Source organism: Homo sapiens, chromosome 1 (assembly GCF_000001405.40).
Source record: "Homo sapiens chromosome 1, GRCh38.p14 Primary Assembly".
NCBI lineage: Eukaryota > Metazoa > Chordata > Mammalia > Primates > Hominidae > Homo > Homo sapiens.
The window spans coordinates 234,551,068-234,563,944 of NC_000001.11; the positions used below are offsets into that span (position 1 = coordinate 234,551,068).

The 12,877-nt window shown below is 46.8% G+C and overlaps 2 annotated features.

The window, feature by feature from the left end:
- Positions 2,247 to 2,454: a silencer, noted in NCBI's record as "fragment chr1:234689060-234689267 (GRCh37/hg19 assembly coordinates)". NCBI's record gives its function as "represses an EF-1alpha promoter that drives an FKBP-Casp9 reporter gene in an ReSE screen in K562 erythroleukemia cells {active_cell/tissue: K562}" and the evidence as "EXISTENCE:reporter gene assay evidence [ECO:0000049][PMID:32094911]".
- Positions 3,836 to 4,130: a silencer, noted in NCBI's record as "tiled region #4208; K562 Repressive DNase matched - State 5:Enh". NCBI's record gives its function as "represses a minimal TATA promoter and a strong SV40 promoter by Sharpr-MPRA in K562 cells {active_cell/tissue: K562}" and the evidence as "EXISTENCE:reporter gene assay evidence [ECO:0000049][PMID:27701403]".

The window sequence follows — 12,877 nt, forward strand, 5'->3', positions numbered from 1 at the left end:
ACTTCCAACAAAGAGCTCTTTATGTCTTAGCCAGCAAAGGACAAGGCTAGCATGGGCATTTACCCCACTGCCTCAGCTGCCTCACCAGGAATGCAGGAGATGCAGATGCACGGATGAGAAAGCTTTGCCTGTCCCAATGCACAGCGATGCCTGACGCTGCCTCAGAGTACCTGTGCTCTGCCCATCCAGCTTCTGGTCATCCGAGGCCCAGGTCCCAAAGGGGCGTGGGAGGAGATGGTGGGAGAGACAGCTAGGCCCCATGCTGGACACCTGAGAGGGAGACCCTGGCTTTGTGTTGAGGTAAGTTCGAGAGATCTGAGACTACCCTTGACTGTGGATCGGCAGTAGTAGGAATCTAACTCGCTCTCTGTCGTTGTTTTTTTTCTTTACACCGAGTCGTGCTCTGTCGCCCAGGCTGGAGTACAGTGGTGCAATCTCAGCTCACTGCAACCTCCGTCTCTCATGTTCAAGCAATTCTCATGCCTCAGCCTCCCGAGTAGCTGGGATTACAGGCGCCCACCACCATGCCCGGCTAAGTTTTGTATTTTTTAGTAGAAATGGGGTTTCACCATGTTGGCCAGGCTGGTCTCGAACTCCTGACCTCAAGTGATCCACCTGCCTCGGCCTCCCAAAGTGCTGGGAAAACAGGCGTGAGCCACCGCACCTGGCCTCTGTCATCTTTTTTTAGAGACAAGTTCTCGCTCTGTCACCCAGGCTGGAGCACAGTGGTGTGATCACAGATCACTGCAGCCTTGAATTCCTGGGCTCAAGTGATCCTCCCACCTCAGCCTCCCTGAGCAGCTGGGACTACAGACACACGCCACCACAGCAGGCTAATTTTTAAATTTTTTATAGCGAGAGGGTCTTGCTGTGTTGCCCAGGCAGGTCTTGAACTCTTGGCCTCAAGCAATCCTCCTGCCTCAACCTCCCAACGTGCTGGGATTAACAGGCAGGAGCCACTATACCCGGCCAACTCTCTTTGATCTTAAACCAAAGAAATGAGATTTCTCCGAAGCCAGAGTTATAAGTGATGGGGGTCAATTGTGAGGAACTGAATGGATTTAACTGTGAATGGTGTAGAACTTATTCTACAGCACACTAAGGTCAAATCAGATCTGTATTCTCCTACGCAAACAGTAGGAAATGTGGGAGATTATGTGATACTGAAAAAAAAAATGGAAAAGGAAAGCAATTCATTTTCTTCACTGTTACAAAACATCACTTTTGTGTGTATAAACCTGGAATCAATTATTCAACTTCCCTTATGGATAAAGCATAACTTGTAATAAACAGCAAAGAGGGTTGTTCATTTCACTTAATGATAAATAAAATGATGTTTGACCAATTTGATGAAGACAGTAAGTCAAACTTAAATGGTCGGGCATTTTATGTTGCTGAAACTACTAATCTTATTAAGAAGCTTTTCACATTTAAAATATGCAAAATGCAAGCAAAATTTAGTAGAGAAAGTAAAGTTAAATATTTAATGACATAATTAAGTCTTATTAATGGTATGTTCTTTATTTTGCAGATTAAATATTCACAACGATTATCATCTCTTTCATCTTTATTACTTAAGCAATGTGTTTTTCATAATTATTTGTTAGGTATTTTCATTAACATTTGATGAATATTAATAGTTAAAATAAAAAACAGTTTTTATTTCTGTTGTAATGACTTTATGGTGATCATAATATGTAAGTAAGTGTTTATAATGTGCGCTACTGGTTAATATTTAGATCACTGATTTTTTTCCACAGAATAGAAACGTGGATATTTATGGGTGATAAATGGCAATCATCACATTCTTCCATTACTCTTTATTTATTTATTTAATCTACTATTCTTAATGTAGCTTCATTGTGGGAGACATATGAATTGCAAGCTTACAATGAAGGCTAATAAGTAGAATTTTAGGTTGAGTCCCACTCTTGCATTAATAATGGTTTGCCTCTCTTTTTAGATGTACTGATTCATTTCCCATTTTTACCTCATTCCCCTCACGGATTTGGTCCAGCAGAGTTAGATGGCGCTGGTACCTTTTCCCTCCATGACCTTTAAAGCTTAGACTGATGGCCTCACAGATATTTTTCTTCGGGGACAAAGGATGAGGATTTTCCATCCCGAACAACATGAAGCAAATGCGCATGGATCTCCTGATTTTTCATTCAGACAGTGATTACAGAGTAAACAGCACTGGGTCAGATCAGCGTGCACGGTCAATGTGGCCTGCATATGGTGACTATCCCTCCCTGCACCGTGTGGCAGCCACATTGTCCTGACCCACTGGGAAGCTTGTCACTTCCAGAGCGGCCCAGGAGATGCATGTCGACCATCCCCACTTCAGGCTCCCACGTGGCAGGCTGCAGACCCCTGGCCAGGCTTTTTTTCTGAAACCTTTAGTGGATTTTCCTTGAGGATGACCGACAGAATGATGGTGATGTATTCTAGTCTCATGGTCAGGCCTGCAATCACATTTCGAAGCAGCCTCCAGATCCCTGCTCAGCATTCTGTGACTGACGCGGGTGGAGGCATTACAGTCCAGACAGAGTCAGTGCTAATCAGAACAGGATGCCCTTTAGCTTCCTCGGGAAAGCTTTATCTCTTTAGCAGGAGCTATCTGCATTTTTAAAGCCACAGCCTGTTGGAAAGAGCTCCGAACCACAAAAATGTACAGCAGGGGTAAGCAGAGTTCCTAGCCATTAACCACCTCCAGGCAGTTAATCATTTCAGTTTAGAAGAACCCACGTTCGCTTCAAGAGCAAGTATATTCTGTTGGAAACCTACTATGTTGGGCTCTTTCGAAAGCTAGTTCTGATTCTCACAATGCCCTGCTGAGCGGACGGGAGTCCCCCGTTGTATGGACAAGCAGATGAAGCTCAATGAATTAGTTGACTGCTCTAAGGTCTCATGGTTGATCTTGGGCACAGCTGGGGTTCGAAGCCCGTTCTTTCTGGCTCAGAGTCCTGTGCTCTTCTCAGCAGGATGTGACGCTACCTCCCCCACTGCCATTTTTCTGTGTGATTATATGGGACCCAAGCTCCAGGTAAATCTGATTGTTAAGAAAAAGCCCCAATATACACAGAGGCACAAGAAAAAGGAATAGATCTCACCCTGTTGGTGAAGCCAATGCGTGAACCTAATGTGCAGAAAGACACCACTGACGTCTTCCCGGGCCCCTGCCTCGCATCCTTGCCTTGCTGACTATTTGGCCCTGGCCTAGAAAATACAGTGCTCATTCTCAGACGTGTATGTGCAAGTGTTTGTCTCTCCAGCCAAGCTGTCCTCAGGTCCTTAGCCGTCTGCGTGTTCCCCAGCTCTCTACAAACAGCTATCCTGGAATAGCTAAAACTGAGATTTTAATAATGTGTGCTTAAAGCATTTATGCTAAAAAAAACTTGCCAGTTCTGGCCATTTCCAGTAACAATATGTGCTCTCATCACTGCTAAGAGTCTGGCAATGAGCAGATGATGCTACTGAAAGCAAGTGAAGACAGTGAGACAGGGCTCAATCCATGCCATGCCTCTGAGAGCCTAGGAGTCATGGCACAGCGCCAAGAATACCCCTTCAACATGACAAGCAGGACTCAGTTTCCCCCTTTTGAGCATATCAAGGAAAAACATATGTAAGGGCCTGCGCAGTGACTCACGACTGCAATCCCAGCACTTTGGGAGGCCGAGGCGGAAGGATTGCTTGAGGCCAGGGTTTGAGACCAGCCTGGGCAGTACAGCTGGACCCTGTCTGTACAAAAAATTTAAAAAAATAAATAAAAACACATGTGGACTCAACAAGGACAAATATGGACTCCTTGCACCCTGGGGTGAGCCGGGAGGGGCGATGCAGTCCGCACCAGCCAGGACCGCACACGTGGTGACATCAGGCCTGCCTTCCCTCTCATCTGTAATGTCTCTCCTTGTCCAGCCTGCAATGTGACCATTGTTTATTACCTATTGAGCCCCAGCACCATATTTGGCTCTGCAGGCAAGATTGATAGATTCTTGCTGTCACCAGCCGCACTCTGATGGCAGCTTTCCAGGCCTCCTCCTCACCCCTCCCCCAGCCCCACTCCACCTTCCAACAACCCCAGAGGCTCAGAACAGGCCTCCCCACCAGCAAGGCTGGCACAGACCCTTTTGAAGAAGCCGTTTCCAGGAGAGGAAGGAGCTGAGGATGGATGCCCAGCCGGCCTCCATGCTCAGGAACTGCCCACCCCAGTGAATCGTCTCTGCCCTGGAAGCTGCTGACAGCAGTAGGGGCCTTTCTGGAACCATCTCCCTCCCAACCTGCCTTGACTCTATGCATCTTCAGAGGAGAGAGGATTTGAGTCTCATAGGCCTGAGATACACAACATTCGGTGGGAGGGGAAAGCCTGGATGTAAGGGTCAATTATACCGCCTTATGGGGAAAAAAGTATCCAACTCGGAGTCTGGAATGGGAATGACACACAGCTGGAGACCATTTTCATCAGGTGACCTAAGGCACGCTGCTCCAGCTTCATGGTGACGTGATTCTGTGTTGGTGCTATGGAACCACTGTGGCTTCAAATAAGGAAGGACACTTTGGAAAGCTGAAAGGCAGTGAGGTTGAGGGACTGTGTCCCAGTCATGAGACTGAGGTGATGGGTCCTTGTTATGTCACCCACAATCGATGTCACCTTAGGTGTTGTGCCCTGAAACTCACTAACACCCGTCACCATGTTTACCATGACCAACCCAGGAAATACCTGTTTCATTAACTCAACTGAAGAGGAAGACATTTCGAGAACCAAACCTGGAGACTAAGAGCCTGAAATTGCTGATTAATGGGTCAAATCAGCACCTATGGTGTGCCAGGCACTGTGGCATTGTGGCACTGTGCCAACCCCTGATGTGTTTTGTTTTTTTTTTTGTTTTTTTTTGTTTTGAGACAGTTTCACTCTTATTGCTCAGGCTGGAGTGCAATGGTGCGATCTCGGCTCACTGCAACCTCCGCCTCTTGGGTTCAAGTGATTCTCCTGCCTCAGCCTCTCAAGTAGCTGGGATTATAGGCGCCCGCCACCACACCCAGCTAATTTTTGTATTTTTAGTAGAGATGAGGTTACACCACATTGGTCAGGCTGGTCTCAAACTCCTGACCTCAGGTGATCCACACACCTCAGCCTTCCAAAGTGCTGGGATTACAGGTGTGAGCCACGGCACCCGGCCTGATGTTCTTGAAACAGCAACTCCAGTCCCACTCTGGACCTGTGAAGCTCACAGTTCAGTAGAGGGGTGTGGTGGTTTTTCCAGCAACAACCAATCAGTTAGATTCTCCAACACCATCTGGGTGTCCTACAAGTCAATTCATTTCTGACACTAACTACCCGGATTGAGCCCAGACCCCACAGATTAAGGGCTCAGCCCAACTAAACAGCTCCCATTTCAGATGCCAGCCACAAACAGGGTCCCATGTGCTATGGTGTGAATGTCTGTGTTCTTCTGAAATCCATGTTGATACCTATTCCCCACTGCAATAGTGTTAAGAGGTGGGGTCTTTGTGTGGGGATTGGGTCATGAGGGTGGAGTCCTTATGAATAGGACTCTTAGGAAAGAAGCTAGAAGCAGCTCATTCACCCCTTCAGCCATGAGAGGACACATAGAAGTTGCCGTTGTATGAGGAAAAGACCCTCACCAGACATTGAATCTGCTGGCACCTTCATCTTGGACTTGCCAGCCTCAGAAGAATGAGCAATATATTTCTGTTGTTTATAAATTACCCAGTCTGAGGTTTTGTATAGCAACCCACACAGACAAAAACAGCAAGCTACTTACACTTCTGCCTAGCCAACCTCACATTCGAGCCCCCATCAGGTTCAGTAATTCACTACAAACACAAACCTCAGGAAAATGCTATACTTACATTACAGTTTATTATAAAGGATACAAACGAGCAGCCAGATGAAGAGGTACAGAGGACGAGGTCTGGAAGGTTCTGAGCACATGAGCCTCTGTCCCCATGGAGGCGGGGCACACCACCCTCCCCGCAGGCAGATATCTTCAGCAACCTGGAAGCTCCTCAAACTCCATGGTTTAGAGTTGTTTTGGGCTTTTTGTTTGTCTGTGTGTTTGTTTTTGAGACAAAGTCTTGCTCTGTTGCCCGGACTGGAGTGTAGTGGCATGATCACGGCTCACTGCAGCCTTGATCTTCTAGGCTCTGGTGATCCTCTTGCCTCAGCCTCCTGAGTAGTTGGGACTACAAACACATGACACCACATCTGGCTAATTTTTAAAAATTATTTGTAGAGACACAGTCTCTCTACGTTGTCCAGGCTGGTCTCAAACTTCTGGGGTCAAGTGATCCTCCTGCTTTGGCCTCCCAAAGTGCTGGGATTACAGGTGTGAGCCAGGTGCCCGGCTCCTTTAGAGTTTTTCATGGCAGTTTCATTAGGTAGTCATCATTGATTCAATCACTGGCCGTTGGTGGTTGAACGCAACTCCCAGCCCCCCTCCTCTCTCTGGAGGTAGGGTGGATGATGCTTGGGTAACACCTATGAGCATCTCATCAGCCTAAACCCAGGTGTACCAAAAAGGCTTATTATCAATAACAAAAGGCATTCCCATCATTCAGGACATTCCAAGGGTTTTAGGAGTTCTGTGTCAGGAACCAGGGCAAAGACCAAATCATATATATATAGATATATAGATATATACACATACTGGTGTATATATATAGAGATATATACACACACACACATATATATACATAGATATATATATACACACACGTATATATACCTGTATATATATCTATATATACATATACATATATGTATATGTGTGTATATATACATATATATGTATATACCTATATATAGTATATATATACACGCATATATATGTATATGTATATATATCTTTTATATATATATAGGTATATATATATATACCTGTGTGTATATATAATATATATATATATCTGTCTCTTTCTCTGTGTGTGTGTGTGTGTGTGTGTGTGTGTAATACCATAGGTGGCAGAAATGCTACAGAGACCTGAGGCAGGGCTACAGGGTGGCAGAGGACTGATTGCTTCTTCCGCTAACTGGGCAGGCTGCACAAGGGAAGGGGCCTGTAGTGAGACCCACTAAGGGAACAGTACCTGCCAAGGTTCCCTATGGCTGCGGCATCGGGTGCAGTCTACACCTTCCCATCGGTCTGACCTTGGACTGGTTACCCCCACCTCCAAGCCTCAGTCACACCATTTATCAATGGCGCTAACAACTGCAACACTTCAGGGTTGTTATGGCGTTTAATGAAACCCTATAAGCCTCCAGACCGTGCCTTGCACACCACGCCTTGCGCATATCAAACACTCCATGAATTGAAGCTATGATTATTGGGTGATGATGGTCATGATTAAGGAAAACTTCAGGGGGATAGTGAGAGACTGTGCGTGGCTGAAGCACTAGATATGTAAGTGGCTTGATTATCTCCTGATCTGTGAGACATCTGCTTACTCAGGCAACCGTACACAGACCACCAGACAACTGGCTCCCAGACGATTGCTTAATGGTCCATGGGGCAACCTATCCTCCTTCATGCTGAGGGAACCGCAGGGCTCTCCTCCCTGTACCGGCTTCCTAGAGGCCCAGATGTTTTGCCTAGTTTGGCTGGCATGGGGTCCTAATCTGATCGTGCCGTTAATTAGAAAGAGCCTATCTTTGAAACAACAGCCATAAAATAAACCAAAAATATTTTTGAAACAGAGTGAAAGCACTTTGGATCTAATCAAAACAGGAGGGAGAAGACCAAGTTTTTGTGAAGCTGTCCTCTAGTTTCTGGTGCTTACACCTCCAAATAGGGACAAGAGAGGCTGCTGTTCAGCTGGGTGCGGTGGCTCATGCCTGTAATCCCAGCACTTTGGGAGGCTGAGGTGGGTGGATCACCTGAGGTCAGGAGTTTGAGACCAGCCTGGCCAACATAGTGAAACCCCATCTCTACTAAAAATACAAAACCTTAGCTGGGCATGGTGGTGCATGCCTGTAATCCCAGCTACTTGGGAGGCTGAGGCAGGACAATCGCTTAAACCCAGGAGGCGGAGGCTGTAATGAGCCGAAATCGCACCATTGCACGTCAGCCTGGGCAACAAAAGTGAAACTCCATCTCAAAAAAAAAAAAGAGAGGCTGCTGCTCAAGGGGACCCTTGATGCCTTGCAGGAGGGCAGTGGGGAGACCCAAGGGCCCCTGTTGGTCTGCTCATGGAGAGGTTCATTGATCCAGGAGGGCTGTGGGCTGGTCTTGGGGGTGTGGCCAGCTGGGACCTCAGGGCTGAGCCAAGGGTGAGCCCAACAGAGAGGACACTCTTGCAGCGGAATGAGTGTTTGATCACTGAGCTGCACCTGCCAGCGCTGGCACTCCACCAGGGAAGACAGGAATGAATGGTGGCCAAACATTTCAGGCCAGTTGCTCTCCCTCTGCACACCCACCACCCCCAGGTAGACTCTTCCCCTTGAGATCAGGAAGCCCTAAGTCCAGTGCAAGGAAATGCCCAGCACCCTGTGTTGGGGCCTTGTGCAGGAGGCAGCCAGCACAGCATTGTGGGTGCTGCTTTGCCTCCCAGGCTTGGAGGGGGCAGGGACTGGGCTGGCTCTGGGCTTGGGGCACAACTCCCTGGATTCTATGATCAACACTCCCAGCCCTGGGGCCAGGACCAGGGCAAACATGGCCACAGCTGAGCTCACTGCTGCCTCTCACTGTCTCTGGGCCTGACACGAGCCAGAGCCAGGCCCCCGGGTTTTTAGTTCATTTCCTGATGCCATCTCTTCGTTGAAGAAGAAGAGGGAGACAGCTGAGGAAATGCTGCCAGTGTGGGGCCTTGTGGCACCGTTTGCAGTCTCCTTGGCCTGCAGCCTGCCTGGAGACTCACACGAGGGCTCTCAGCCTCGGGGAAAATGAGATGCCCTGTCACACACACAGCTATGGAGAGAGTGTCCTCTCTCTCCTCCCTTCTGGAGCTCCCAGGAAGCCAAGGCACAAGCTGAGTCTCACTTCGGGGTGCAGGATAATGGAAGCCAAGGACCCAGCACAGACCAGCTGGCGGCCCCATCCAGGAAGTGCCAACCCCACGGGTCACTCTTGGGGACCCTTGGTGGCCCAGCCATTGCAGCCATGCAGAGATGCATTAACTCCCCATAAGGACTCAGGATTGTCATCAAGAAGTACAGGTGGGATTCTGAAGGCAGACCTCAAGCTGGAAGAGGCTAGCTGCATCCCACAGGTAGGCGTGGACATCAAGCAAGCACCTGCCTGCCTGTCTAGCATGGCGCTAGACATGAAGGAAGCAAAAGAATGGAGCACAGACCCTGATGAGGAGCCTGCGTGCTATGCACACTCATTCTCAAATCTCAGCTTGCAAAGAGCTCTATGGATGACCTTTTAAAGGGCAGAGGCCTAGGCCCTGTCCCCTGAGATTCAGATTTGTTCTCATTTATTTATGTATATTTTAGAGACAGGGTCTTGTTCTGTCACTCAGGCTGGAGTGCAGTGGTGTGATCTCAGCTCACTGTAACCTCGACCTCCTGGGTTCGAGCCATCCTTTTCCTCAGCCTCCCGGGTTCGAGCCATCCTTTTCCTCAGCCTCCCGAGTAGCTGGGACGACAGGCATGCACAGCCATGCCTGGCTAATTTTTTAGTGTTTTGTAGAGATGGGGTTTCGCTATGTTTCCCAGGCTAGTCTTGAACTCCTGACCTCAAATGATTCTCCCTGTTCGGCTTCCCAAACTGCTAGGATTACAGGTATAAGCCATCACACCCAGTCAGATTCATTTTTAACAACCATCCCAGGTGCTTATGTGGTAGATGGTTGGTGGATCAACCTTTGGGAATTGCTGGTCTAGAGGGAGTACTGAGCAGAAATCCCCACCCCAGCTCCAGGCCTGAGGTCATGGAAAGGGAAGCTTGGGGAGACTTCTGGGCACCAATCCCTGAGCCAAGTGATTCTTACAGCTGACGGAGAAAGAGGAGAGTAGTTGAGACTGCGCAGGACATTCTAGGCAAAGCACTGGAGGGGCAGGGGAGCACAGGTGAAGACACCTGAAGGCCATGTGTGTATGGCCTGAGAACCCACACAGGCCCTGTGCTTGGGGTTTAACGCATTGTGGTTGCCATTTTGAAATTCTTGGTAATTTTAGCTTTGAATCTGTGTTTTGAACAAGAGGCACTGCAATTTCACTGTGCACTGGGCCCTGCCACTTATGGTCCCAGCCCCACTGGGGTACAGGGAGCTATGGGAAGTTCAGGCGTTGCTGAGGTTGGAGGTGGGCAGTAGGAGTGGTAGAGGGGCTAGAGAGATATGGGAAGGCTACATCCCTGAGGTCTCCAAATGTCATGTCCAGGAGCTCAGGTTTTATCCAAGTAAGGAAAGGATTCAAGCAGGAATGAAGTAGTTAGGTCTGCATTCCACGAGGTCTACTCTAGGAAAAGGGCAAAGGTCGCCCTGCATGCAGATACAGGGGGCCAAGCTAGGCTGTCATGAGGACCAGGCTAGGAGACCAGTAGGCAACTGGAGAAGGGAATGGTCTAGAGAAAACTGAGCGATGATTTGGAATCGGAGATGGGGTTGAAGGAGAGGGGGAAGGCCAGGGTGACTCCCAGATTTCTGGCCTGAACAGCTGAGTTCCCTGTGGTACCACCAGCTGAAATACTTTGTTAGTTTTATTGCTTTTCATTAAAAAAAAAAAATCTGTGGTGGTGTTTATTCTAAGAACACATTATCATTGCTCACATCTGTCAGTAAGAGTCTTTTTCGAATATAAAAGTAACTTCTGAGGCCAGGCACAGTAGCTCACAGCTGTACTCCCAGCACTTTGGGAGGCCGAGGGAGGCTGATGGCTTGAGGTCTAGAGTTCAAGACCAGCCTGGTCAACATGGTGAAACCTCGTCTCTGCTAAAAATACAAAAAAAATTAGCCAGGCGTGGTGGCGTGCACCTGTAATCCCACTTGAATCCAGAAGGAAGAGGCTGCGGTGAGCCAAGATCGCACCACTGTATTCCAGTTTGGGCGACAGAGTGAGACTCCGTCTCAAAAAAAAAAGAAAATAGTATAAAGATTCCTCAAAAACTAAAAGTAACTCTTGTCCTTTAATAAAAGAAAAAAGATGGGGGCAAACATTATCTGGTCCCAAATTTATTTGCCCATTGTATGTCCAGGATAAGATCCAGTTTGTTGGCGAGAGGGTGGGGTATGCATTGAAGGGGGTCATAGAGAGGCATCTGTAGAGTAGTTACCACACAGGGAGTTTCAGCACTAGACCTATCACTTTGTTTACTCTTTATCCCTATCCTGAATATCAGTGTTTTTTTTTTCTTTTGCTAGAAACCCAGAATTGACCTTGGAATTCTCATTCATGTTAGTAAACACATTCTGGTTGTTTGACCAGACACAAAAATCAGTTCTTTCGATGTGACCTTGAGACACCCTTGCTCCAAAAACAGCCACCGTAGGTCTCAGCCCAAATGGGCAAGCATCCAGTGGATCCCAGGCTTAGGGGAAAGCAGGAGCCTAGAGTTAATGCATTTACCGAAACCCCTTTGATCTAGAATCCATCTGACAATCCCACGAGGCCAGACAGGCCTGGAAGGTTTTCAGGCCTTCCTCCGGTTCGGCTGGCTGTGCTTGAGCGCTGTGTTCCCTCAGGCATCTTGGGGCTTGAGCTTTGAACAACTCGGTATTGCAAATTAAAATGACCCTAAGTAGGAATGAAAGATTTTAAAAAGAAATTCGGTTTTGTTCAAAATAGGCAGTGTGCAACTGAGAAACAGGGGCTTTCTTTGAGCCAGTTAAACTGAGTGCAAGATAAACTAAATTCAGCTAAGATAAAAGCCCGAATAAAGTGGCTTTCACAGAAGACATTCAGAAAATATTGCTCTTTATAAATAATAATTATTCAACAGACATTTTACTAGCACTTTTCTGTTGTATAAAAGTTATACATGCAGAGTGTAGACACTTTGAAAACACAAAGTATAAGATGCAAACATGAAATCACCTATGAACCATGACATGCAGGTAGCATTGTCAACATTTTGAGCTGTTTCCTCTCAGCTTTGTTTCAATGCCTACATTTACAAAGTTGTTTTTTTTTTTTTTGAGATGGAGTTTCGCTCTTGTTGCCCAGGCTGGAGTGCAATGACACAATCTTGGCTCACTGCAACCTCCGCCTCTGGGGTTCAAGCAATTCTCCTGCCTCAGCTTCCCAAGCAGCTGGGATTACAGGTGCACGCCACCACACTCAGCTAATTTTTGTGATTTTAGTAGAGACGGTGTTTCACCATGTTAGCCAGGCTGGTCTTGAACTCCTGACCTTGTGATCTGCCCGCCCCGGCCTCCCAAAGTGCTGGGATTACAGGCATGAGCCACCACGCCCAGCCTACAAAGTTTTGTCTAAGTAGTTCCAAAGCATTTTAAAGGTAGAGATAATGGATTAAACTATAATGCTCATTTGAAAAGGAGATTTGCCTAACAGCATATTTTAAGATCTTTTTTTCTAATTAGAGAAATAAAGAAAACTTGTAAAACACAGAAAAGCATAAAAGAAGACAGCAAAAGTCACTTGGATTTCAACCAAAGAGCATTATGATGAATGTTTCAGTGTGTGCCTTCCAGTGTTTTTTTTCTATGTATGTATGTACATTTCTTATTTATTAAAAATACCAGTGTATCCTTTTGGCTGTTTGCTGTTTACAAAACACACATTTGCCCTAAAAATAAATATTCTTCTACAACATGATTTTTACTGACTACATAAATGATATTCCTTTATATAATGATGTATAATAATTTACCTAACCAATCTTCTATTGTAGGATTTGTAGGTTGTTGTAATTGTTCATATTATAAACAATGTCATGATTAACATACTTAT